The sequence below is a fragment of the Homo sapiens genome, chromosome X (assembly GCF_000001405.40).
Source record: "Homo sapiens chromosome X, GRCh38.p14 Primary Assembly".
NCBI classification, from domain to species: Eukaryota; Metazoa; Chordata; class Mammalia; order Primates; family Hominidae; genus Homo; species Homo sapiens.
The window spans coordinates 46819765-46847004 of NC_000023.11; the positions used below are offsets into that span (position 1 = coordinate 46819765).

General features: G+C 43.1%; 1 protein-coding gene across 1 annotated transcript in view, besides 2 other annotated features; it reads left to right on the forward strand.

The window, feature by feature from the left end:
- Positions 16881 to 16960: a silencer, noted in NCBI's record as "silent region_20795". NCBI's record gives its function as "represses an Ori minimal core promoter by ATAC-STARR-seq in GM12878 lymphoblastoid cells {active_cell/tissue: GM12878}" and the evidence as "EXISTENCE:reporter gene assay evidence [ECO:0000049][PMID:35858748]".
- Positions 17271 to 17410: an enhancer, noted in NCBI's record as "active region_29577". NCBI's record gives its function as "activates an Ori minimal core promoter by ATAC-STARR-seq in GM12878 lymphoblastoid cells {active_cell/tissue: GM12878}" and the evidence as "EXISTENCE:reporter gene assay evidence [ECO:0000049][PMID:35858748]".
- The window catches only part of RP2 (RP2 activator of ARL3 GTPase), a 45316-nt gene continuing 35354 nt past the window's right edge, over positions 17279 to 27240 (forward strand). The window contains exon 1 of the mRNA NM_006915.3: positions 17279 to 17438. Within this exon, the coding sequence (NP_008846.2) occupies positions 17337 to 17438 (102 nt within the window). The 5' untranslated portion in view covers positions 17279 to 17336. The remainder of the gene's footprint in view (positions 17439 to 27240) is intronic.

The following is a 27240-nucleotide window of genomic DNA, read 5'->3' on the forward strand; positions in this document are numbered from 1 at the left end:
GAGGGGAACCTGCTGCCTTGAAGGAAGGACCCAGTCCTGGCAGGACCTGTCACCTGTTGACTAAAGAGCCCCTGGGCCCTGAATAACAAGCAGTAATACCCAGGTTGTACACCATGGGCCTTGGGTGACACTCTGAGACTTGCCAGTTTTAGATGAGACTCAGTACATTCCCAGCTATAGTAGCTTAGGGAGAGACTCCTACTTGAGAAAAGTGGAGGGAAAAGGAAAGAGGACTTTGTCTTGCACCTTATGTACCATCTTGGCTACAGGGGATAGAGCACGAAGTGGGCTCCTTAGGGTCCCCAATTTCAGGCCTTGGCTCTTAGATGGCATTTCTGGACCTGGCCTGGGCCAGAGGGGAGCCCACTACCCTGAAGAGTGAGTCCCAGTCCAGACAGCATTCACCAAGAGTTGACTGAAGAGCCCTTGGGCCTTAAGGAAGCATCAGCAGTAGCTTGGCAGTACTCCCTGTGGGCCTGTGATGGTGGTGGCCATGGGGTGAGCCTCCTCTGCCTGTGGAAAGGGGAGGGAAGAGTGGGAAGGACTTTGTCTTGCAGGTTGAGTGCCAGCTCAGCCACAGTACACTAAAACACCAGGTAGATTTCTAAGGTTTTTGACTCCAGTCTCTGGCTCCCAGATAGCACCTATGGACCTACCCAGGGCCTGGGGGAACTTACTGCCCAGAAAGAAAGGACACATGCCTGGCTGGCTTTGCCACCTGCTGATTGTAGAGCCTCAGGGCCTTGAGTGAACATAGATGGTAACCAGGTGGTGGTTACAGAGGGCCTTGGGCAAGACCCAGTGTTGTGTTGTGCCGGCTTCAGGTCTGACCCAGAATAATCCCAGTGATGGTGGCCACAGGGGTGCTTGTGTCGCCCCACCCCCAGCTCCAAGCAGCTCAGAACAGAGAGAGAGAGAGAGGAGAGAGAGACTCTGTTTGTGAGAAGATAAAAGTCTCTGCCTGGTAATCCAGAGAAATCTTCCAGATCTTATCTAAGAACATCAAGGCAGTACCTCTATGAGTCTGCAAGAACCACAGCATTTTTGGGCTGGGGGCATATCTCCTAACGCAGATATGGCTTAGATCATAACACCCAAGTCCTTTCAAATACCTGAACAGCCTTCCTAAGAAGGACAGGTAGAAACAAGCCCAGACTGCAAAGACTGTAATAAACACCTAATGCTTCAATGCCCGGACACAGACAAACATCCACAAACATCAAGACCATCCAGGAAAACATGACCTCACCAAATGAATGAAATAAGGAACCAGGGAACAATTCTAAGGAAACTCAGAGAATCAAGATAACACAGAGTAGGAATTCAGAATTCTACCAGATAAGTTTAACAAAGATATTGAAATAATTTAAAAGAATCAAGTAGAAATTCTGGAGCTGAAAAATGCAATTGGCATATTGAAGAATGCATCAGAGTCTTTTAATAGCAGAATTGATCAAGCAGAAGAAAGAATTAGTGAGCTTGAAGACAGGCTATATGAGGAGACAGAAGAAAAAAGAATAAAAAACAATGATGCACACCTACAAGATCTAGAAAATAGCCTCAAAAGGGCAAATCTAAGAGCTATTGGCCTTAAAGAGGAGGTAGAGAAAGAGATAGGGATAGAGAATTTACCCAAAGGGATAATAACGGAGAACATCCCAAGCCTAGAGAAATATACCAATATCCAAGTACAAGAAGGTTATAGAATACCAAGCAGATTTAACCCAAAGAAGACTACCCCAAGGCATTTAATAATCAAACTCCCAAAGATCAAGGATAAAGGACCCTAAAGGCAACAGGATAAAAGAAACAAATAACATTCAATGGAGCTCCAATATATCTGGAAGCAGACTTTTCAGTGGAAACCTTACAGGCCAGGAGAGAGTGGCATGATATATTTAAAGTGCTGAGGGGAAAAAAAAAAACTTTTACCCTAGAATAGTTTATCTTGTGAAAATATTCTTCAAACATGAAGGAGAAATAAAAACTTCCCCAGGCAAAGAAAAGCTGAGGGATTTTTTTCAATGCCAGGCCTGTCCTACAAGAAAAGCTAAAGAGAGTATTTTGATCAAGAACAAAAGGACATTAGTGAGCAATAAGAACTCATCTGCAGGTAAAGAAATCACTGGTAATATTTAATAGTAAGTACACAGAAAAACACTATAACACTGTAACTGTGGTATGTAAACTACTCTTATCCTAAGTAGAAAGACTAAATTATGAACCAATCAGAAATAATAACTACAGTAACTTTTCAAGACATAGACAGTACATAAGATATAAATAGAAGCAACAAAAAGTTAAAAAATGAGGGGATGAAGTTGAACTGTAGAGTTTTTGTTAGTTTTCTTTTTGTTTGTTTGTTTATGCAGTGTTGTTGTTATCAGGTTAAAATCATGGGTTAGAAGATAGTATTTACAAGCCTCATGGTAACCTCAAATCAAAAACATGCAATGAATACGTAAAAAATAAAAAGCAAGAAACTGAATCATACCACCAAAGAAACTCACCTTCACTAAAAAAGAAGACAGGAAGGAAGGAAGGAAAGAGAAGGACACAAAACAGCTGGAAAACAAATAACAAAATGGCAGGAGTAAATCCTTACTTATCAATAATAACATTGAATGTAAAGGACAAAACTATCCAATCAAAGGACATAGAGTGTATGAATGGATTAAAAAACAAGACTCAATGATCTGTTGCCTACAAGAAACATGCTTCACCTATAAAGACACACATAGACTGAAAATAAAGGGACGGGAAAATATATTCCATGCCAATGGAAACAGAAAAAGAGCAGGGGTTGCTGTACTTCTAGCAGACAAAATAGATATCAAGACAAAACTTATAAGAAGAGAAAAGGTCACTATATAATGATAAAGGGGTCAATTCAGCAAGAGGATATAACAATTTTAAATATATATGCATCCAACAAAAAATAGTTAGAATAAGACTTAGTATTTGCTACCATAACAGGATGACTATAGTCAAAAATCTTTTTTTTTTTTTTTTTGAGATGGAGTCTCGCTCTTGTTGCTCAGGCTGGAGTGCAATGGCGTGATCTCAGCTCACTGCAACCTCCACCTCCCAGGTTGAAGCGATTCTCCTGCGTCAGCCTCCCAAGTAGCTGGGATTACAGGCACCCGCCACCACACCCAGCTAACTTTTGCATTTTTAGTACAGACAGGGTTTCACCATATTGGTCAGGCTGGTCTCGAACTCCTGACTTCAGGTGATCCACCCGCCTCGGCCTCCCAAAGTGCTGGGATTACAGGCGTGAGCCACTGTGCCCAGCCAGGAATAAACATTTTTAAAGCTCTTTCTACATATTGCCAATTTGCTTTCCTGAAAGGTGGTACCTACTTGCTCCCTGACTCTTGCCAGCACTTTGTTAATTTTAGTCTTCACATTTTCATTACTAGTGCAATTAAATATATTAAGTATTTTAAGTATTTAATAGTTCTTTGCATTTCCATGATTGTCAATTGTTTGTTCATGTCATTTGCCTATTTATTTGCTGCTCTTTTTAATCAAATACCACCAATATAAAAACATTAAAGGACTGTGAGTGGAGGTAGGTTTTGGGGAAGAAAATAAGGGTGCTCTGGTTCTGAAAATTGGAGGACACACTCTGATTTGCCCCAGGAAAACTTTTCCACACTCTCTCTTCCCGCAAGTTCTTGGCCTTTCTACCCACCTGGAGAGCAGGGGAAATGTATGTCAAGCACAAGGCAAGTCTAGGCCTGACAGACTCTACAACGAGCACATTTTAGATTCAGACAGTTTATTACTTACAAAGACAGTGAAAGGAAGGGTAGCCAAGGGTGCCAGCTCCCCATGGCCTTTGAGCAGGGCAACACTAAAACAAAGAGCCAAATGACTACAACAAAAATGATGTGACACCCTGTCACTGAGGGGCCCATTCCAGACTGCAGCAAAGTGATTTTTATGGCCTGCAGCTGTGCCCTAAGCGGGTGAGACAGAAAGCTGCTTCATCAAAATCCAGATGGCTATAGGAAACTATGTTGGCCAGGCACAGTGGCTCATGCCTGTTATCACAGCACTTTGGGAGGCCAAGGCAGGTGGATCACTTGAGGACAGGAGTTCAAGACCAGCCTGGCTAACATGGCAAAACGCTATCTCTACTAAAAATAAGAAAATTAGCTGGGCATAGTGGTGGGTGCCTGTGATCCCAGCTACTCAGGAGGCTGAGGCACGAGAATCGCTTGAACCCAGGAGGCAGAGGCTGCAGTGAGCCAAGATCTCACCACTGCACTCCAACCTGGGCGACAGAGTGAGACTCTGTCTCAACAAACAAACAAACAAGCAAACAAACGAAAAAACTCAAATAAAAAAAGAAACTACCTGATGACAGCTTTCCAGGCTGATATCTTCCAGGGAAGATAGGGAGGTGAGTGGGAAACAGCTTTGTTGTAGCTCCTCACAAACCTCCCGTCCCCTAGTGTTCCAGAAAGATCACAAGGTGTTCTGCCAAGACTTTGATTCAGCTGTGTCCTGTGTGGATATATGCAAGGTTACCAGAACACCATGGTGGAGCCACTGCTGCATACGATGCAGGTAAAGAGTCTTGGAATTCTGTGTGTTTTATTTTGAGACAGGGTATCACTCTGTCACCCAGGCTGGAGTGCAGTGATGTGATCACTGCTCACTGCAGCCTCGACCTCCGGTGCTCAAGCGATCCTCCCACCTCAGCCTCCTGAGTAGCTGGGACCACAGGTGCATGCCACCATGCCTGGCTAATCCATCTTTTTATTATTTGTCGAGACAGGGGCTCCCTATGTTGCCCAGGCTGGTCTTAAACTCCTGGGTTCAGGTGATCCTCCGGCCTCAGCCTCCCAAAGTGCTGGGATTACAGGCGTGAACCACTGTGCCCAGCCTGGAATTCTTTTTGGACCTTTTTTCAATTTAGGGAGTTTTGAGAAAACTTCATTTCTTTCTTTCATTTTTTCTTTTCTTTTCTTTTTTTTCTTTTTTTTTCTTTTTTTTTTTTTTTGTGAGACAGGGTCTCTGTCTGTCGCCCAGGCTGGAGTGCAGTGGCACGATCTTGGCTCACTGCAGCCTCTGCCTCCCGGTTCAAGCCATTCTCCTGCCTCAGCCTCCAGAATAGCTGGGATTACAGGTGTGCGCCACCACACCAGGCTAATCTGTTTTGTTTGTTTGTTTGTTTGTTTTGAGATGGAGTCTCGCTCTGTCACCCAGGCTGGAATGCAAAGGCTTGATCTCGGCTCACCGCAACCTCTGCCTCCCAGGCTCAAGCAATTCTCCTGCCTCAGCTTCCTGAGTAGCTGGGATTACAGGCACCCACCACCATGCCCAGCTAATTTTTGTACTTTTAGTAGAGACGAGTTTTCACCATGTTGGCCAGCCAATTTCAAACTCCTAACCTCAAGTGATCCACCCGCCTCGGCTTCCCAAAGTGCTAGGATTACAGGTGTGAGCTACCATGCCCCGCCTGTACTTTACTTTTTAGTAGAGACAGGGTTTCACCATGTTGGCCAGGCTAGTCTAGAAATCCTGAGCTCAGGTGATCCGCCTGCCTTGGCCTCCCAAAGTGCTGGGATTACAGGCATGAATCACTGTGCCTGGCCTGATTTTTTTTTAATACGGTGAGAGACAAGGGTCTAGTTTCATTCTTCTACATATGTATATCCAGTTTTCCCAGCACCGTTTATTGAAGAGGCTGTACTTTCCCCAGTGTATGTTTTTGACACCTCTGTCAAAGATGACTTGGCTGTAAATGCATAGGTTTATCTCTGGGTTCTCTATTCTGTTCTATTGGTCTATGTGTCTGTTTTTATGCCAAGGTCATGCTGTTTTGGTTTCTATAGCTTTGTAGGAAATTTGGATGTCAGGTACTGTGATATCTCCAGCTTTGTTCTTTTTGCTTAATATCACTTTGGGTATTTTGGATCTTTTGTGGCTTCATACGAATTTTGGGATTTTTTTCCTATTTTTGTGAAAAATGTCATTGGTATTTTCATAGGGATTGCACTGAATCTGTAGATTGTTTTGGGTAGTACAATTATTTTCACAATATTAATTCTTTCAATCCATGAATATGGGATGTTTTTCCATGTTTTGGTGTTCTCTTCAATTTCTTTCATCAGTGTTTTGTAGTTTTCATTGTATAGCTCTTTCTCTGCCTTGGTTAAATTTATTCCTAGGTATTATTTTTTGTAGCTATGGTAAATGGGATTGCTTTCTTAGTTCTTTTTCAAATAGTTCATTATTGGTGTATAAAAATGCTACTGATTTTTGTATGTTGATTTCATATCCTGTAATTTTACTGAATTTGTTCCTTTTTTTTTTTTTTTAAGACAGGGTCTTGCTCTGTCACCCAGGCTGGAATGCAATGGTGCCATCTTCTTGGCTCACTGCAACCTCTGCATCCTGGGCTCAAATGATCCTCCTTCTTCAGCCTCCCAAGTGGCTGGGACTACAGGCATGTGCCACCATGTCTGGCTAACTTTTGCATTTTTTTGTAGAGACAGGGTTTTGCCATGTTGCCCAGGCTGGTCTTGAACTCCTGGACTCAAGTGATCCAGGCACCTCAGCCTCCCAAAGTGCTGGGATTACAGGCATGAGCCACTGCACCTGACCTTGAATTTGTTTAAGAATCAGTTCCAAGCTTTTTTTTTGGTGGAGTCTTTAGGTTTTTCTGTATATAAGATCATGTCATCTGCAAAGAGGGACAATCTGACTTTCCTTTTTCCAATTTGAATTCCCCTTATTTCTTTCTCTTGCCAAACTTTTTAAGAGTTTGACTAAATTTGTGCCTTTGGTCATCTGAATGCTTGATTGTGTAGTTGTCTCTGCTTATTACTAACAAGTCAGTACACGTTACATTAGGAATTTTGTTTCATGTACATCTGGCTCCATTAGCTAATTTTTTATGCTACTCCTTATGGAGCAGGGCTACCCCATAGGCAGTGTGCCCAGAGTAGTATTAATAGCTAATTTTTTATTGGCTTTTATGAGCTTGCACCTATTGATTTCTCTGTTCCCATTGAGGTTTTTAATAAGTTGTGGCAGATTGGCAGCACTGCTAGGAGAATATGGTCTTCTTAGTTCTTTGTCTGTATAATGTGCTGTCATGTAGACATTTTGAAGCCAATCGGTATATGAAAACAGGTAGCCTTTGTGAATTTAGATCCTGACTCTTCAAGAGATAATATTCTGAATACCTCTGGACAGGTAATTTTATAATATGGTTAATGAAATATAAACTTGAGAGCCCTTTGCTTGTATGGGTCCTGTACACACCCCAGGAAAGGCCCTGGAAATTTTACATTAATAATCAGTGTTATTTTTCTTCAGAGGACCCAATCCACATTGTATAGACGTTAGAGCCTACAAATCCTGAAATTTTCCCTGTCTCAGAGTGAATTATTATTTATTAGGTGCCATTCTGAGCATTGTGATAATTAGGGAATATATGAAAGAAGTGATAAAGGCCGGGCACAGTGGCTCATGCCTGTAATCCCAGCACTTTTGGAGGCTGAGGTGGGCAGATCACCTGAGGTCAGGAGTTCGAGACCAGCCTGACCAACATGGAGAAACCCTGTCTCTACTAAAAATACAAAATTAGCCGGGCATGGTGGCCCATGCCTGTAACCCAGCTACTCGGGAGGCTGAGGCAGGAGAATTGCTTGAACCTGGGAGATGGAGGTTGCGGTGAGCTGAGATCACGCCATTGCCACTGTGCTCCAGCCTGGGCAACAAGAGTGAAACTCTATCAAAAAAAAAAAAGAAAGAAAGAAAGAAAGAAAGAAGGAAGGAAGGAAGGAAGGAAGGAAGGAAGGAAGGAAGGAAGGAAGGAAGGAAGGAAGGAAAGAAAGAAAGAAGGAAAGAAAGAAAGAAAGAAAGAAAGAAAGAAAGAAAGAAAGAAAGAAAGAAAGAAAGAAAGAGATAAAGAGATGTCTTCCTCCCCAATTCACTTTCTTATCCTGAATGTAGGAAATCTAAGAACGTACTGTGCAGCTGGATGTATGTGGTGGGGGAGGTGAGGAAGTGGGAATTATACCAAGCCTAGCAGAGCATCTCTGAAGGAAGATTTTATCTAGAATTACCCCTAACTTTTGTTCACTTTGTTCAAAACCAGGGGAGAGGAAGAGTGGAAAGTAGGAAAGAGATCCTACTCATATAAATCCAGGGACTGTTGGGACTGCTTAGGTATTGGCCATCTATATGATATTAACCATTTTCTTCTGTAAGATTTAGGAAATGTTATTCTTTTACTGATACTTTTTTCTTGTGGCATCAGTTATCTTGCCCAAATCTTTTTTTCACTACCTTGAAATTATTTTTAAACTATATAAATGTTGATGAGTAGCAATTATGTGAGTTGGGATCTTCTAAATGTCAGACTGAGAGTCTGGTAAACATTAAGAAGAGGAAACTAGGCTGGGCACGGTGGCTCACGCCTGTAATCCCAGCACTTTGGGAGGCCGAGGCGGATGGATCACCTGAGGTCAGAAGTTCGAGACTAGCCTGGCCAACATGGCAAAACCCCGTCTCTACTAAAAATACAAAAATTAGCCAGGCATGGTGGTGGGTGCCCATAATCCCAGTTACTCGGGAGGCTGAGGCAAGAGAATGGCTTGAACTCGGGAAGCGGAGGTTGCAGTAAGCTGAGATCGCACCACTGCACTCCAGTCTGGGTGACAGAGCCAGGCTCTGTCTAAAAGAAGAAGGAGGAGGAGAAGAAGAACAAGAAGAAAAGGAAGAGGAAGAGGAAGAGGAAGAAACTATATCTCTTATTTAGCTTGGATGAAATGGGAAGTAGTCCTAATAAAATCCCAAGGATGAAAACAGATTTTCTAACATACTCTAATTAACTCTGTAGTTTTAGTTTGCTCAGAGTTTATCCCTTTCCTGAAAAGTATTAAAATGAATGTTTAGAACATGGGAAAACTGGCCTGGGCACAGTGGCTCACACCTGTAATCCCAGCACTTTGGGAGGCCAAGGCAGGCGGATCACTTGAGATCAGGAGTTCGAGACCAGCCTGGCCAACATGGTGAAACCCCGTCTCTACTAAAAATACAAAAGAAAATTAGCCGGGCGTCGTGGTGGGTGCCTGTAATCCTAGACATTCGGGAGGCTGAGGCGGGAGAATCACCTGAACCCAGGAGGCGGAGGTTGCAGTGAGCCGAGATTGCACCACTGTACTCCAGCCTGGGCGAAAGAGTGAGACCCTGTCTCAGGAAAAAAAGAAAAGAGAAAGAGAGAGGGAGGGAGGGAGGGAAAGAAAGAAAGAAATGAAAGAAGGAAGGAAGGAAGGAAGGAAGGAAGGAAAATGGGAATTCTGCTAGGACAAAAAAAAAGATTTTTGTAAGTCCAGAAACTATCTTTTTTTTTTTTTCTGAGATGGAGTCTCATTCTGTCGCCCAGGCTGAAGTGCTGTGATGCGATCTTCACCCACTGCAACCTCCACCTCCCGGGTTCAAGTGATTCTCCTGCTTCAGCCTCCCGAGTAGCTGTGACTACAGGTGCGTACCACCACGCCCAGCTAATTTTTCTATTTTTAGGAGAGAAGAGGTTTCACCATGTTGGCCAGGATGGTCTCGATCTCCTGACCGCGTGAACCACCTGCCTCGGCCTCCCAAAGTGCTGGGATTGCAGGCGTGAGCACCGCACCCAGCCGAAACTATCTTTTAAAAATAGTCTCCATTGGGTAGGCTGGGCGCGGTGGCTCATGCCTGTTATCCCAGCACTTTGGGAGGCCGAGGCGGGTAGATCTTGCTTGTGCTCAGGAGTTCGAGACCAACCCCGGCAACACGGTGAAAAACTGTCTCTACTAAAAAAACAAAAATTAGCCAGGCGTGGTGACGCACGCCTGTAATACCAGCTACTCGGGAGACTGAGGCATGAGAATTGCTTGAACCCGGGAGTCAGAGGCTGCAGTGAACTGAGATCATTCCACTGCACTCCAGCCTGGGTGACACAGTGAGACTCTGTCTAAAAAAAAAAAAAAGCCAGGTGCGGTGGCTCACGCCTGTAATCCCAGCACTTTGGGAGGCCGAAGCGGGCGGATCATAAGGTCAAGAGATCAAGACCATCCTGGCCAACATGGTGAAACCCCATCTCTACTAAAAATACAAAAATTAGCTGGGCGTGATGGTGGTTGCCTGTAGTCTCAGCTACTAGGGAGGCTGAGACAGGAGAATCACTTGAACCCGGGAGGCAGAGGTTGCAGTGAGGCAAGATCGTGCCATTGCACTCCAGCCTGGCAACAGAGTGAGACTCCGTCTCAAAAAAAAAAAAAAAAAAAGAAAGAAAAAAAGTCCCCATTGGAACTGCTTTGTTGTAAAAAGTTACTAGTTACTAGAATTTATAATTTTCTGCTGCTGAGACCATTTACTTCTGAGAAGCCTTTCTTGACTCTTCTATCCTCCCCACCCCTGTCTGAGTTAGAAGTCTGTTTCCTCTGTTTTTCCTCTTTTGTACTAACTTCCAACTCTCTGTTATATCTTTACTATAACATTGTACTGTGATCATTTATTTTCTGGACCATCTTTTCCACTAAACTGACAGTTTGATGCTTTTTCATTTCATTACCTAGCACAGTGCCTAGCACACTGGGATATTCATGAACTTTTTAAATAAGAATGAATGATAGTGTTGTCAGACAGCCCAGTATGATATCACAGTCTATGAGTTCACATGTACATGGGAGGATAGAGTCACTGGTTAGTAATAGAAAGAAGAAGGAAGAAACACACAGAATTCAATAAATGTTATAGTCACGTACTCAGAAAGCTGACTAGGAAGTCAGATCATTGACAGACAAATATTTTTTACTTTGCCTAAATTAAGACTTTTACCAACAACAGTGAATAAGATACCTCATGGTAAGAAAAAAATATATAGTCTTTATAAATTGATTATACACAATTTTCAATGCTTTTAAAAATAATTGGAACTGGTCAATAAGATATTGAAAGAAAATTGATAAGAATTATTTAAAAGTTAAGTGTGAGAGGATCGCTTGAGACCAGGAGTTTGAGACCAGCCTGGGCAACACAGTGAGACACTGTCTCTAGAAAAAAAAATTAAAAATAATTAGCCCCCGTCTCTAAAAAATTTAACAAATAATTAGCTGGGCACAGTGTTGCACACATGTAGTTTCAGTTACTTGGGAGGTTGAGGTAGGAAGATCGCTTGAGTCCAGGAGTTAGAAGTTGCAGTGACCTCAAGACTCCGTCTCCAAAAAAAAAAAAGAAAGAAAAAAATAAAGAGGGAGAAGAAATGTTGACTCAAAAACTTATGAAAAGGAGCCGAGCGTGGTGGGTCATGCCTGTAATCCCAGCACTTTGGGAGGTTGAGACAGGATTGCTGAGCCCAGGAGTTTGAGACCACCCTGGGCAACATAGTGAGCCCCCTGTCTCCACAAAAAATTTGAAAAATTAGCCATGTGTGGCCAGGCACTGTGGCTCATGCCTGTAATCCCAGCACTTTGTGAGGCCAAGGTGGGTGGATTGCTTGAGTCCAGGAGTTTGAGACCAGCCTGGGCAACATGGTGAAACCCGGTCTCTACAAAAAGTACAAAAATTAGCCTGGCGTGGTGGCACATGCCTGTAGTCCCAGCTACTTGGGAGGCTGAGGTTGGAGGATCATTTGAGCCCAGGAGACAGAGGTTGCAGTGAGCCAAGATTGTGCACTCCAGTCTGGGCGACAAAGTGAGGCCCTGTCTCAAAAAAGAAAAAAAAAAATTAGCCAGGTGTAGTGGTGGGCACTTATGGTCCTAGCTACTCAGGAGGCTGAGATGGGAGGATTGCTTAAGCCCAGAAGGTCGAGGCTGCAGTAAGCCATGAATGCACACTGCACTTTAGCCTGGGTGACAGAATGAGACCCTGTTAAAAAAAAAAAACACTTATGAAAAGGGGAAAAAAGTTATCTGCCTATATATTTTTTTAAACCTTCCAATCCTCTTCATCAGTATATGAATTGAACAGATTTGACTCCTGCCATGGAGACTAGCCACAGAGATGACACCTCAAAGATCTGCACCTTCGAGTATTCATGTCTCTTGTTTCATCTCCTCCCTTAGTGAGTCAGGGCCAGCCCTGGGTGACCAATAGAATCCAGTGAAGTGATGTTGCATGTCTTCCGAGGCCACACCATAAGAAGCCTTGCAGCTTCCACGTTGGTCTCATGGAACACTCACTCTTGGAGCCCTGAGCATGATGTATGGAGTTCAAATACCCTAAAGCCACCTTGCAGGAGAGACTGGGTGGAGAGGCTCTGAGATTTCATGTAGAATGATTCTTGGCCAGCACCCCAGCCATTTGAGTCATCCCAGCTGAGGCTCCAGATGTACTGTGGAACAGAATTGAGTTGTCCCCACCAAGGTTCATGAGTAAAAGAAATATTAAGTTATTATTGCTTTAAGCGATTACGTTTCAGGTGGTTTGTTACTCAGCAATAGATGACTGAAACACTCCTCTTTCACTTGATGTGAAGTATTTCCTTAGGTGAGTGCAGAGTGAGCAAGGATGTGTCAGGTCAACTCAAACATAGGGAATTTTCCAGCCATCGTTGCTGGGGTAATTGACTTATTCATGCTGTAGAGATACACTGCTTCAGGACTGTCTTTTTGTTGTTGTTGTTTTTGAGATGGGATCTCACTCTGTTGCCCAGGCTGGAGTGCAGTGGTGCGATCTTGGCTCACTACAGCCTCTGCCTCCCGGGTTCAAGCAATTCTCCCACCTCAGCCTTCTGAGTAGCCGGGATTACAGGGGCGCACCACCACGCCTGGCTAATTTTTGCATTTTTAGTATGTTTAGTATTTTCACCATGTTGACCAAGCTGGTCTCAAACTCCTGACCTCAAGTGATCCACCTGCCTCGGCCTCCCAAAGTGCTGGGATTACAGGTGTGAGCCACCGTGCCCGGCCAGGACTGTCTTCTGAGAAGTAACTATATCACTTCTGTGGTCAAGACTCAGGGGACCCAGAGCCATCTCTGGAGCTTGTGGCCAGGTGTAAACCCACAACTCAACATTTTAATATAGATGAATAGATACATCAAGCTGAACAGGAAGGGCAGCCTTCTATAGAAAAGAAATCACTAGAATATAAATAGCAGGAGGAGCACAAGCAGAACAAGCAACCAACTTCTGCCTGAACTCTTCAGAGTTAGCGTTCCCTTTTCAGGACCTGCTTCCCACCCATATCTGTAACACCCATGTTTGGAATTCGCCCCTGCAGCTGCAGCAATGGGACCAGGGGTGCATACCAACCTAGAGCCAATCTGTTATTGACTGGCCAGCAATGTATATGATTATCTCCCTTGAGAGTCTGAGACTGTAGCATGCCCTTGGACAGAAAGGCCATGAGGAATCAGGGTGGGATAGCTGTTGTCAACCATGTAAATGCTGATGAGTAAGTAGAGAGCTGGTTTGCAAAAATAAGTAGTGATGAGAATTCATGGGGACAGGTGAAAAAGAGATGGGGCAGAAAAGAAAGAAAGAATAAGAGAGAAAGAAAAAGGATGAGACAGCACTAGTATTAGCTCTGTTCATTAGCTTTCTAGTCCCCAGTTCTTAACATTTGATTTAATTTTCTTTTTGTAATTTTGTTTTTGGTCAAGAGTGATGGTAGGATGGGAATGAACAGAAAAGGGACTTTATCTTCACTTTTAAGGGTCCCTGAAAAGATCACTCTTGGATATAGGTTTTATTGTAGATTTGAGCTTTTCTCATTAATGAATACTTCAAAACAGTGAGAGTTTCAGAGGTTGTTTCTCTAGAATTAGTTTTGTTATATTGTTTGTTCATTAAGAGGAATAGCATCACTGTGGGACAGAGCTCCCATAGGCATCAGAAGGCCGAGGCAGATACTTATTTCAGATGAATTAGAGAGGAACAAACTTAAGGCAGGAGGAGGCACTGGGAAACACAGGATGTGGATTTTTCCAGTCCCTGCTCAGCCACTCTCATCGTGACCACAGATTCATCCCTTCACCTCTCTGGATCTCTGCCTCCTCTGCTACACTAAGTAGTGGTCATAGTTATATATTTATATCTGGTCACAGATGTTTTATAATCATAGACCATAGATTATAAATATAATAATAGATTATAAAATATCGAATGAGGGTCTTATCCAAAAACATCTTCACATAAAACTTTCATCTCACTCTGAAGGAGAAAAAGTGTGCACTGGGTAAAGACTCTATTGCCTAAGATCTGGAACTTAAATTTGCAGTAATTTCTAATACTTAAGCACATGTACTTTTCTTCCCGATTGTGCAATAAAGGACGGGAAGTAAAAAGGGGAACATTCTTTATGTTCAAATTAAGTCGGCCGGGCACTGTAGCTCACGCCTGTAATCCCAACATTTTGGGAGGCCGAGGTGGGTGGATCACCTGAGGTCAGGAGATCGAGACCAGCCTGGCCAACATGGTGAAACCCCGTCTCTACTAAAAATACAAAAATTAGCCAGGTGTGGTTTTGTGCGCCTGTAGCCCCAGCTACTCGGGAGGCTGAGGCAGGAGAATTGCTTGAACCTGGGAGGTGGAGGTTGCAGTGAGCTGAGATCATGTCATTGCACTCCAGCCTGGGTGATAAAGCGAGACTCTGTCTCAAAAAAAAAAAAAAAAAAAAAAGTCAGAGGCTCATTTAGGATACAAACTAGATGTGAATAAGTATGGGAAATTTAAAAGATAACCAAATTTGAACCTGAAGTGATCAGCATTTGATATCCTACTGAGATGTCAAAATACTGTTTCTCAGAGAAACTGACTTACCTTTCTTTTCTATTACATAGGCAATGCATGTGTATTGCAGTAAAATTCGACCCAAGTATAACAAATGTTTATATTTAGTGTATATATCTTTAAATATATTCTGACGAACCCTATGCCATTTGCTTAGAACAGATCTGATCGTTCATATGCAATGCTTATGTCCTCAACGAGGCTATAAACTCCATGAGGAGAACCCCTTTACCATAAATCCACATGCCTCCCACCCCCACAGTTTGGTCACTTTCTTTGGGAAGGGATGGGGGAAGTTTATAAATGCTTCCTTCACTAGCACCCATGCATGCATTCATTCATTTGACAAACGTTGTATTGAGCACCTAGTATGGACTTGGGCCAGGTGTAGGAGATTCAAAGGTACATCCCTCCCCTCAGCTTTCCTCCCCACTGCCTTTTTTTTTTTTTTTTTTTGAGACGGAGTCTTGCTCTGTCGCCCAGGCTGGAGTGGAGTGGCGCCATCTCGGCTCACTGCAACCTCCGCCTTCTGGGTTCAAGCTATTCTCCTGCCTCAGCCTCCCGAGTAGGTGGGACTACAGGCGCCCGCCACCATGCCCGGTTAATTTTTGTATTTTTAGTAGAGATGAGGTTTCACCATATTGGCCAGGCTGGTCTCGAACTCCTGACCTTGTGATCCGCCCGCCTTGGCTTCCCAAAGTGCTGGGATTACAGGCGTGAGCCACCGTGCCCGCCCCCCCCGGCTCTGGTTTTTTTTTTTTTTTTTTTTTTTAGACAGAGTCTCCCTCTGTCGCCCAGGCTGGAGTGCAGCGGCGCCATCTTGGCTCACTGCAACCTCCACCTCCTGGGTTCAAGCAATTCTCCTGCCTCAGCCTCCCGAGTAGCTGGGACTACAGGCACACGCCACTACGCCCGGCTAATTTTTGTATTTTTAGTAGAGACGGGGTTTCACCAGACGGGGTTTCACTGTGTTGAGCAGGATGGTCTCGATCTCCTGACCTCATGATCCTACCGCCTCGGCCTCCCAAAGTGCTGGGATGACAGCCGTGAGCCACCGCGCCCGGCCCTGCATGCCCTTTATGACATACCTTTTAGGCCAGGCGCGGTGGCTCATGCCTGTCATCCCAGCACTTTGGGAGGCCGAGGCGGGCAGATCACCTGAGGTCAGGAGATCGAGACCAGCCTGCCCAACATGGTGAAACCCCGTCTCTACTAAAAATACAAAAATTAGCCGGGCGTAGTGGCAGGCGCCTGCAGTCCCAGCTACTCTGGAGGCTGAGGCAGGATAATCACTTGAACCCGGGAGGCGGAGGTTGCAGTGAGCCGAGATGGCACTGCTGCACTCCAGCCTGGGCGACAAGAGCAAAAACTCCATCAAAAAAAAAAAAAAAAAAAAAAGATATACCTTTTTGATCTCAAGAAAGTCACAGTTCAAATAGGGAAACAATACACAATTAACTATTTTACTAAGTACTTGTGCAATTTTAGAGCCATATGTGAAAGTCTTAAGAAAACACAGAAGCAGCCTGGGGTGCGGTGGGTCCTGCCTGTAATCCCAGCACCTTGAGAGGCTGAGGCAGGATGATCGCTTGGGCCCAGGAGTTCAAGACCAGCCTGGGCGACATAGCAAGACCCCATTTCTACAAAAGTAAAAAAAAAAAAAAATAGGTGGGCATGGTGGTGCTTGCTTGTAGTTCCAGCTACTCAGGAAGGAGGCTGAGGCAGGAGGATCGCTTGAGCCCAGGAAGTCAAGGTTGCAAAGTTGCAAGGTTGCAGTGAGTTATGATTGTGCCACTGCAGCCTGAGTGACATAGCGAGACCCTGTGAAAGAAAAAGAAAGAAAGAAAGAAAGAAAGAAAGAAAGAAAGAAAGAAAGAAAGAAAGAAAGAAAGAAAGAGCACAGAAGAGGATTGGGAGGTTATGGGGTACAATTCTTGAGGGGGTGACCCTGGCCAGGCGATGAGAGGGCGGTAGGAAGGGTGATGAGGGGAGAAGAGGATTTAGAAATACAAATTTCAGGGTCTTCTTGTGTCAGCGGGAATTTCTGTCCCTCACAACTTTCATCATAAGATAAATCTAATGTTCAACTAGAGATCTCTCCCGCGCCTTGAACTTGCAAATTTATGAATCAGGGGCAAAAAAAACCCGGATACCGAGCCTGGCCTCCCACCAGCTAGAGAACCCACCAAGTTCCAGGAGGGGCGGGGCCGAGGGCGGTCCGTGCCACAGCTGTGGGCGGGGTTGTCCGTGCTTGCGCCAGAGCCGGCCCGCCCCGCCGCCAGGGGCTGTCGCAGGAGCCAGGCGTGGATTGGTATGTGGGTATGTCGGCCTCTCTTCATAGGCCGCGCAGGATTGCTCGAGAGGCTTTGATTGGCTCAACAGGCGCTGAGCGTTCATTGGCTGCGCTGGGTCGTCAGGGCGACGAAAAAGGGGAAGGGGTGCTGGGCCTGGCGGGCAAACTAAGGCTGCGGACCGTTGGGCGGTTCCGCGGGGCGTTGTCCGGAGAGCTGCGAGGCCGGGGTTCCCAGGGTTCACGCCACACTCTAGGAAGTGCCTGAGCTAGTGAGCTGGCCAACGAGCTCCGCGGGCTGGGACCATGGGCTGCTTCTTCTCCAAGAGACGGAAGGCTGACAAGGAGTCGCGGCCCGAGAACGAGGAGGAGCGGCCAAAGCAGTACAGCTGGGATCAGCGCGAGAAGGTAATGAAAGTCGTGTAGCCGCCGTCTCAGCCTCCCTGAGCCGCTCCGCCAGGTCCCTTACGGCCCGGGACCGCTGAGGGGGCCGACCCAACTGCTGCCGCACTCTCTTGAACGCGGATAGCTGAAGTCGGGGTGCACGACTTTTTTGGGGAGCGGGGACGTGAAGTACAGCGCTAGAGAGGCCGCCCAGAGGGCTGTGGAGCTCCGGAAGGAGCCTTAGGAGTTTGTTGTCGTGGTAGACAGACTCCCCCGGGAGCTTTCTCTGACTCCGAACCCTGCCTTGCTCTGACTTCCTGTTGGAGATGATCGATTCGAGAGAGGGAAAGAGCCGAGAACGCCCTGAATCTCAAATCACCTCGTTTCACCCACCGGCAGCGTCAAGCGGGGTTTTGTCCAGTCGTCGAGTTACGTATATGGGACCGATTCTCATCTCTTCCGGGGCTTAATGTTCTGTGGCTGTTTTCTCTTTTGTCTGCCCTCCCCGGCAAATCTCTTTGGTGCCTCATGATATATTTCACTGCTGAATTTTCTCAATTACCAAGTGGACTGTTTAATGTACAGCTTTACTCCCCCTCCTCTTCCAGTTATCCGAAAGAAATAATGAATATCGCATCAGTCTTGGAATGTGTATTAAGACTGTAAGGTGAAAATAAGCGGCATAAACCAGGCAGTATTTTACTGCTGGTTTAAATGAATGAAAACGCCCTTATTTTTATTTTTGTATATAGCCAGAAACGAAAAACCTTTGAAAACCTCCATTAGTCTTACACAAAACACACTCGGTCATACATTTCATAATAGTTCCTCTTTCTACATAGTTCTCCATTTGTGCTTACTAAACTACTTTGATGGACTTATCAATTATTTCTCCCAAACAAAATGAGAGATTTTTCAAATGGGTATTATGAACAGTTAACTCTTTGCTTAAGGCAACATATCTTTACCCAAGATTACTTTATAATAAATGTATTAACGTTTTGGAATCACAGACCTTTCTGCATGATTTCCAATCCCCAGCAGAATGTATTCAGGTAAGCTCTGGTCTCTAAGAGTCAGAGTTAGGAAATTGAAAGCTTTTTGCAGCTTTTCTCAGCCCCGTCTTTCTGCCCCTACTTCTCATACACACCCTTCTTGGGTCACATGGTACCTTTATTCTCTGTTAGTCATACTCGATAGTAGCATTTTATAATGTAGGGGAAGAAAGTACTATGCTTTCTATTTCACAAGAAGATTGCACCTGCCATTTAAAGTTATCTGATGGGCGGTTTTTAAAAGATATTGTTTTCCTCAGCCTTTGGCTTTCTAACAATGTTCTTTTAGCTTGAATTGTCTGCCTTAGAGAAAGTTGCATATTTCATTTTTATTTTAGTTTTTTCTTTTGAACTCAGGCTAAATCTAAACTAAATAAAATGCCTTTTTTATTTATAGTAGTCTTGGCTGCCTATGACTCATCGTTTCACAATAAATTGTTTTACAGTTAATGTTTATTAACATAATATTCAGGTTAGTTAGGACTTCTCATGTTAATCCTTCTTTTAGATAAGTGTGTGTGTCCTGTGATTTTTTTTCTTCTTTTGCCCATTGGCTAAGTAAATGCATTGAGAAATATAACATTGGACACCAACATCTAAGCTTTTTCCCCACAAATGAGTGTGTAATAAACTTTCAATTGTAGAAACTGTTTTGAGCTTACAGAGAACCTTTTTTTTTGAGAACACTACTAAGTTCTGTAGTTGTAGAGTTGTAAGAGATGTTATTGGATATATAAAATAAGCTCATGCTTCTGAGTGTGTGTATAATAAAAGTTAAAATCTTGATCAACTCAGCCAATCAAAATGAGAATTTCTAACCAAATGAGCATTCTGAAAAAAACCCCAGTTTTAAAATATTTTGGACTGTTGAAGAGAATTACCAGCTTACATTTTGAGACAATGCAGATACCACATTTCCCAACATAGCTTTTTCTTTTTAGTTTTTTTTTCTTTTGGAATTACTAGGAATTCTTTCTAAGTTGCCTCATTTTGATAGCTTGTTAAATTTTATACAATTTAAAATATTTTTTTCTAGGGCCAGGCATGGTGACTCATGCCTGTAATCCCAGGACTTTGGGAGGCCAAGGCTGGTGGCTCTCTTGAGCCCAGGAGTTCCAGACCAGCCTGGGCAATATGGCGAAACCTCATTCCTACTAAAAATACAAAAATTAGTGGGGCATGGTGGTGCACACCTGTAGTCCCAGCTACTCAGTAGGCTGAGGTGGGAGGATCACCTGAGCCTGGGACTTAGAGGCTGCAATGAGTCATGATCGGGCCACTGCCCTCCAGCTTGGGCAACAGAGTGAGACCCTGTTTCCAAAAAAAAAAAATAAATAAATAAAATATTTTTTCCTAGTTCCTTGCCTCCCGTGAGGTTAATTTGGGCTAGTGTGCAAATGTTCTGTATTAGTCCAATGATACGTTTACTGAGCATGGCCTTGCTTGCTCCTAGAAGATTTCAGTTGTACCTTAAAAGGAACAGATTGCAAATACAGCCCAGAGAACATAAATGAGATATGATGCATGCATATTAATAGAAATGATTTATATTAAAAGTTTAGGCTTCTGGAATGTGGTTATGGATTATAGCATATACAGTTTTAAAGTTATATCAGACAATTACCATTCAACTTGTAAGACTTTTACATGTAAAAACAAAATGGGTTGCCTGAAAAATTTCCTTGCAGCTTAGAAAAGGGTGTTTACATTTTTCCTTAGGTTGTGTAATCAGAGTATCTTTTTTTGATGTTTTCTTTTTGAGATGGAGTCTGGCTCTGTCATCGCCCAGGCTGGAATGCAGTGGCGCGATCTCGGCTCACTGCAACCTCTGCCTCCTGGGTTCAAGCGATTCTCCAGCCTCAGCCTCCTGAGTAGCTGGAATTACAGGCGTGCACCACCACGCCTGGCTAATTTTTGTATATTTTTAGTAGAGACAGGGTTTCACCTTGTTGGCCAGGCTAGTCCTGAACTCCTGACCTCAGGTGATCCACCTGCCTCAGCCTCCCAAAGTGCTGGGATTACAGGCGTGAGCCACCGCTCCCAGCCCAGAGTATCTTTATTGAAGGGCACCCCTTGGGTTTTGGGGTTTGAGTTGTGTAATTGGGTCAGTCTTAGGGGACTGAAGCTGGGAGAAATTGTCTCATTTAGAAGGAATGTCTGGGGACTAAGCATTGTCATAGCAACTGACATACTGTAGTCAACAGTGTAAGAAGCTCATTTTCTATTGCTACTGACTTTGAAAAAGAAAAAAGATTACAATTCTTACACTGATGTGATGAGAAATATTTTTGGATTGTAAGACTTGTGTTTAAATTATTTCAAAAGAAATGTTTTTATCCTTATCTGTATGCTGCCACCCATAGGTAGGCAAATTATTCAGTATGTATGTACTCAAACACCAAGTAAGTCTCAAAATTATAAGACTTATCCCTGCCCTAAAAGAGTTTACTGGCTTTCTGGAGTTAAAACAGGAAACATTTAAGTACATATGAGGTGAGGAAGAGTGATACGGAAAAGTAGTTTTCATCTTCCAGTATTCATGCCCATACTTTTCCTCCTAGATAATAGAAATGAGGATTAACTCTAAACAATTATGGCTTAAGTGTGAAAATTGTGATTTGAGTAAGGACAACACATGTGTCTGTTATATTTGTCTCATATTCAATAGAAATAATACTAAACAAAAATCTTATACCAGAAATTCGAGTATCTATTGTGTAACTTTGGGTAAAGCAGCCAATTTGTGCACTTCAGGTTCCTCAGCTATATAGTAGGACAATGCTAAAGATTTCTCTACTGTTTAGTAAGGTAAAGGCCTGTCCTGAAGAAGAGGTTTAGACAGTAATGGTCACCTCTGAGGAAAGAACTTAAACCAGAGGTTGGGCATGACAGAACTGGTTTTAACATAAGGCAGATCATAATTCCCAGGATTGGTCATCAGTGGAAGGGGTGGCTTCGTTGAGGACCTGATCTCCATGTTAGTCAAAATTGTCAGACAGTTAGGGTGGTAATCTGCTAGAAAGAAGTGTCTGCACTAAGTAGGAGGAGGCTAGATACTGTTTTTAGCCTTCTTTTAAGTATGAAAAGTATTCTAGTTACCCATTGCTGTGTACCAAACCACCCTAAAACTTAATGGTTTAAAATAATGGCAGATATTTTGTTCATAACTCTTTAATTTGCATAAGGTTAAGCAGGGTTGACTCTGCTCAATGTGGCATCAACCGTGACAGCTTTCAAGATGGCTTGACCACATAGCTGGCTGGCAAGTTGATGCTGGCTTTGGGCTGGGAGCTCAGCTGGGGCCTCTCCATGTATTCCTGGCTTCCTTACAGTGTGATGGCAGGGTTCCAAGGGCAAGCATCCTAAGAGAGACTGGCAGAAGCTGCATGGTTTTTTTCTAACTAGCTTATTAAGTGAATTCTTAAGTCACTTAATTAGACTTAATTTGGATGTGGCAGGAGTAATGCTGAGGCAGTCACAAATGCCCACCCAGTTCCAAGAGGAGGTGACCTCTCAATGGGAGGAGTGTCAAAGAATTTGCCAGTAGGTTTTAAATCCTCTATATAAAGTTGTTTAAAGGATATAACTAGTTCTTTGTTTATTAATTTTAAAAATAGCTTTTTAGAGATATAATTCATATGCCATACAATTCACCCATTTAAAGTATATAATTCATTCTATCTAACTGTATATATATTTTTGAGATGGAGTCTCACTCTGTTGCCCAGGCTGGAATGCAGTGGTATGATCTCCGCTCACTGCTCCGCCTCCTGGATTCAAGCGATTCTCTCACCTCAGCCTCCCAAGTAGCTGGGATTATAGGCGCGTGCCACCACACCCAGCTAGTTTTTGTATTTTTTAGTAGAGATGAGGTTTCACCATGTTGGCCAGGCTGGTCTCGAAACTCCTGGCCGCAGGCAATCTGCCTGCCTCGACCTCTCAAAGTGCTGGGATTACAGGCATGAGCCACAGTGCCTAGCCGTCTAACTGTGTTTTTGTACTCATTAACCAACCACTCTTCATCCTCTCCTCCCCACTACCCACCACAGCCAACTATTGTTGATAATAATTTATTGTATATTTCAAAATAGCTAGAAGAGAAAATGTGGAATGTTCCCAACACAAAGACATGATAAGTGTTTGAGGTAATGGATATCCCAGTTACCCATATTTGATCATTACATTGTTGTATGCTTGTATGAAAATATCACATGTACCCCATAAATGCATACTACTATTATTATATATCCATAAAAATTTAAAATAAATTTAGTTTAAAAATAAAGTATATAATTCAGTATTTTTTAGTAAGTTCACAGGCTTATCACCATGGTCTAATTTTAGAACATTTTCATCCCTGGAAAAAGAAACCCTGTACCCATTAGTAGTCATTCCCCATTCTCGTCTCTCCGAGCCCCTGGAAACCACAAACTTATTTTCTGTCTCTATAAGTGTTCCTATTTTGGACATTTCACTTCATTGGAGCCACAATATTTAGCCTTTTGTGACTGGCATCTTTCACTTAGCATGTTTTTGAAGTTTGTCCATATCGTAACATGTATCAAGACTTTATTCTATTGTATGGATATACCACATTTTATTTATCTATTCATCAGCTGATGGACATTTGGGTTGTTTCTACTTTTTGTCTATTATGGATAATGGTGCTATGAACATTTGTATACAAGTTTTTGTCTGGACATGTTTTCATTTCTGTTGTGTACACATCTAGGTTTGGAATTGCTGGGTCATATGGTAACTCTATGTTTAACTTTTTTTTTTTTTTTTTTTTGAGACGTAGTCTCACTCTGTCGCCCAGGCTGGAGTGCAGTGGTGTGATCTCAGCTCACTGCAAGCTCCGCCTCCCGGGTTCACGCCATTCTCCTGTCTCGGCCTCCCCAGCAGCTGAGATTACAGGCGCCCGCCGCCACGCCCGGCTAATTTTTTGTATTTTTAGTAGAGACGGGGTTTCACCATGTTAGCCAGGATGGTCTCGATCTCCTGACTGCGTGATCTGCCCACCTTGGCCTCCCAAAGTGCTGGGATTACAGGCGTGAGCCACCGCGACTGGCCTATGTTTAACTTTTTGAGGAACTGCTAAACAGTTTTTTAGAGTGCCTGCACCATTTATATTTCCACCAGCAATGTGTGAGTGTTGTTTCTTCACCCATATAAAATTTTGATAAAGGTAAAAAGCATAGAGAGTGAAAAGTATATGGGGCTGGAATTTTAATTTGTATTCTGCACCTAACTACACCTCACTGGTAAACTAATTTAGCTTTTAGCCCTCAGTTTCCTAAGATCCCTTCCAGTTCTTGAATTCTTTGAGCAGCCCATGAGGGGAGGTAAGCATTGCTAGAAACATTCAGGCAAATCTGGATGAACAAAGGGAATGTGATAGGATGTAAAAATAGATTCAGATTAGATTAGATGATATGGGGAATCTTTTCAATCCTAAAATTTCATAATTCTATTTTGTTGTTATATATTTCACAAAATGGTAAGCTAATATAAATGTAGTACTTCAGTTTCTCGAATCATCAATAGTATATAAGCTCAAGATACTGGTCTTGAGCTTATACTATATAAGCTCAAGATACAGGGTAATTTTTGTATTTTTAATAGAGACAGGGTTTTGCCATATTGGCCAGGCTGGTCTCGAACTCCTGGTCTCATCTGATCCTCCCACCTCGGCCTCCCAAAGTGCTGGGATTAAAAGCAAGAGCCACTGCACCCAGCCTCAGAAATTTTTATAGAAGTTTTAAGAATGAAGCATCAAAAAAGAAAAGGTATCAGAAAGCTGAAATAGCAAGGTCGTGGTTAAGATCATTAGATACATAGGATATGAGTTGAATTTTTCATAGCCCCTTTTATTAAAACAATCATTTAAAAAATATATTTTTGACCCTGGTACTCTACAAAGCTTAGTACATTTTTTTTATTTAAAAAAATTTTTTTATTATACTTTAAGTTGTAGGGTACATATGCACAACGTGCAGGTTTGTTACATATGTATGCATGTGCCATGTTGGTGTGCTGTACCCATTAACTTGTCATTTACATTAGGTATATCTCCTAATGCTATCCCTCCCCCCTCCCCCAACCCCACGACAGGCCCCGGTGTGTGATGTTCCCCTTCCTGTGTCCAAGTGTTCTCATTGTTCAATTCCCACCTATGAGTGAGAACATGCAGTGTTTGGTTTTTTGTCCTTGCTATAGTTTGCTGAGAATTATGGTTTCCAGCTTCATCCATGTCCCTACAAAGGACATGAACTCATTCTTTTTTATGGCTGCATAGTATTCCATGGTGTTTATGTGCCACATTTTCTTAATCCAGTCTATCATTGATGGACATTTGGGTTGGTTCCAAGTCTTTCCTATTGTGAATAGTGCCGCAATAAACATACATGTGCATGTGTCTTTATAGCAGCATGATTTATAATCCTTTGGGTATATACCCAGTAATGGGATGGCTGGGTCAAATGGTATTTCTAGTTCTAGATCCTTGAGGAATCGCCACACCGTCTTCCACAATGGTTGAACTAGTTTACAGTCTCACCAACAGTGTAAAAGTGTTCCTATTTCTCCACCTCCTCTCCAGCACCTGTTGTTTCCTGACTTTTTAATGATCGCCATTCTAACTGGTGTGAGATGGTTATCTCACTGTGGTTTTGATTTGCATTTCTCTGATGGCCAGGGATGATGAATATTTTTTCATGTGTCTGTTGGCTTGCATAAATGTCTTCTTTTGAGAAGTGTCTGTTCATAAAAGCTTAGTACATTTTTTACTTGTATAAATTCCAAATAGGCTAAAAGCCTACTGACAGTATTGACAGTAGCAATGATGATGTAGGTGTCACTTGGGTTAAGTCACAGGAAAACTCAAACCATAGTGTCACAGAGGCTACCCTTTAGCTTTGCATGCCCAGAACACAATTTAATAGCAAAGATAGTGGATCTGTCTTCTGGGAGGTGTGTATATTGACTAAGATCATAAGTTTTATATTATTATTGAGAGAAACTATTTGTCCTGTTCATTTTCTTATTATGTTTCAAAGTCATTGAGATTAAGAATTTATATTTCAGCACTATTAGTTCTATAATTATGTGGCACTAATGTTTTCATTTGTGAAATAACCTCTCAGCTACATAGCTATCTAGCCCTGAAGCTGACTTAACAATGTTTAAACTTTAAGTATTTGTTTTAATTGAAGTGTAATTTATATACAGTAAAATTTACCCTTGTTAAGTGTACGGTTCTATGAGTTTTGACAAATAAATACAGTTGTGGAGCTATCACCAATCAAGATATAAAATGGTTCCATCGCCCCCAAAAGTTCTTCCTTTGTATAGTCAGTTTGCTCCTTTGTAGTCAGCCCCACTCCCAGCTCCTGATAAGTTTTCTATCCCTATAGTTTTGTCTTTTTGAGAATGTCATATACATGGAATCATACAATACGTAACCTTTTGAGTCTGGCTTCTTTCACTTAACCATAATGCATTTAAGATTTATCCATGTTGTTGCATGTATCAAGAGTTTTTTTTTTTGAGATGGGGTCTCACTGTGTCACCCAGGCTGGAATGCAGTGGCACAATCTTGGCGCACTGCAGCCTCAGCCTCCGGGGCTCAAGTGATCTCCCATCTCAGCCTCCCAAGTAGTGGAGACAACAGGCGAGTGCCACCATACTCAGCTAATTTTTTGTATCTTTTTGGTAGAGATGGGGTTTCAACACGTTGCCCAGGCTGGTCTTGCACTCCTGAGCTCAGGTGATCCGCCCACCTTGGCCTCCCAAAGTGCTGGAATTACAGGCATGAACCACCACACCCAGCCGGGAGTTCCTTTTTAATTGCTGAGTGGTATTCCGTTGTATGGATATATCACAGTTTGTTTATCCATTCATCAGTTAAAGGACATTTGGGTTGTTTCCAATTTTGGTAATTATGAATAAAGCTACCATAAATATTTGTGTACAGGTTTTTGAGTGAACATAAGTTTTCATTTCACTTGGGTAAATACTCATGAGTGGGATTGCTGATCATATGGAAATTGTTTATTAAACTTTACAAAAAACTGCCAGGTCAGTGGCTCACACCTGTAATCACAGCACTTTGGGAGGTGAAGGCAGAAGGATCGCTTGAGGCCAGGAGTTCAAGACCCGCTTGGGCAACATAGTGAGACCCCACCTCTACAAAATGGATAAACATAGCCAGGCAGAGTGGCATATGCCTGTAGTCCCAGCTACTTGGGAGGCTGAGACAGGAGGATTGCTTGAGCCCAGGAGTTTGAAGCTGCAGTGAGCTCTGATTGCACCACTGCACTCCAGTGTGGGCAACAGAGCAAGACCCTGTCTCTATAAAAAAAAAATTAATTAAAAATTTAAAAAAGAAACTGCCAAACTATTTTTCAAAGTGGCTATGCCATTTTGCCTACCAGCAGTATATGAGAGATACAGTTGCTCTGCATCCTCACATCACTTGCTTGGTATTGTCAGGTTAATTTGTTTTTAAGAGACAGGGTCTGCTCAGTCTCCCAGGTTGGAGTACAGTGGCATGATCATGGCTCACTGCAGCCTGGACTGCCTGGGCTCCAGCAATCTTCCCACTTCAGCCTCCCAAGTAGCTAGGACTACACTACATGTGTCTGCCACCACACTCGGCTAATATTTTTATTTTTTGTAGAGACAAGGTCTGGCTGTGTTGCTCAGGCTGGTCTGAAACTCCTGGCTTCAAGCGATCGTCCCACCTTGGCCTCCCAAAGTGCTGGCATTAC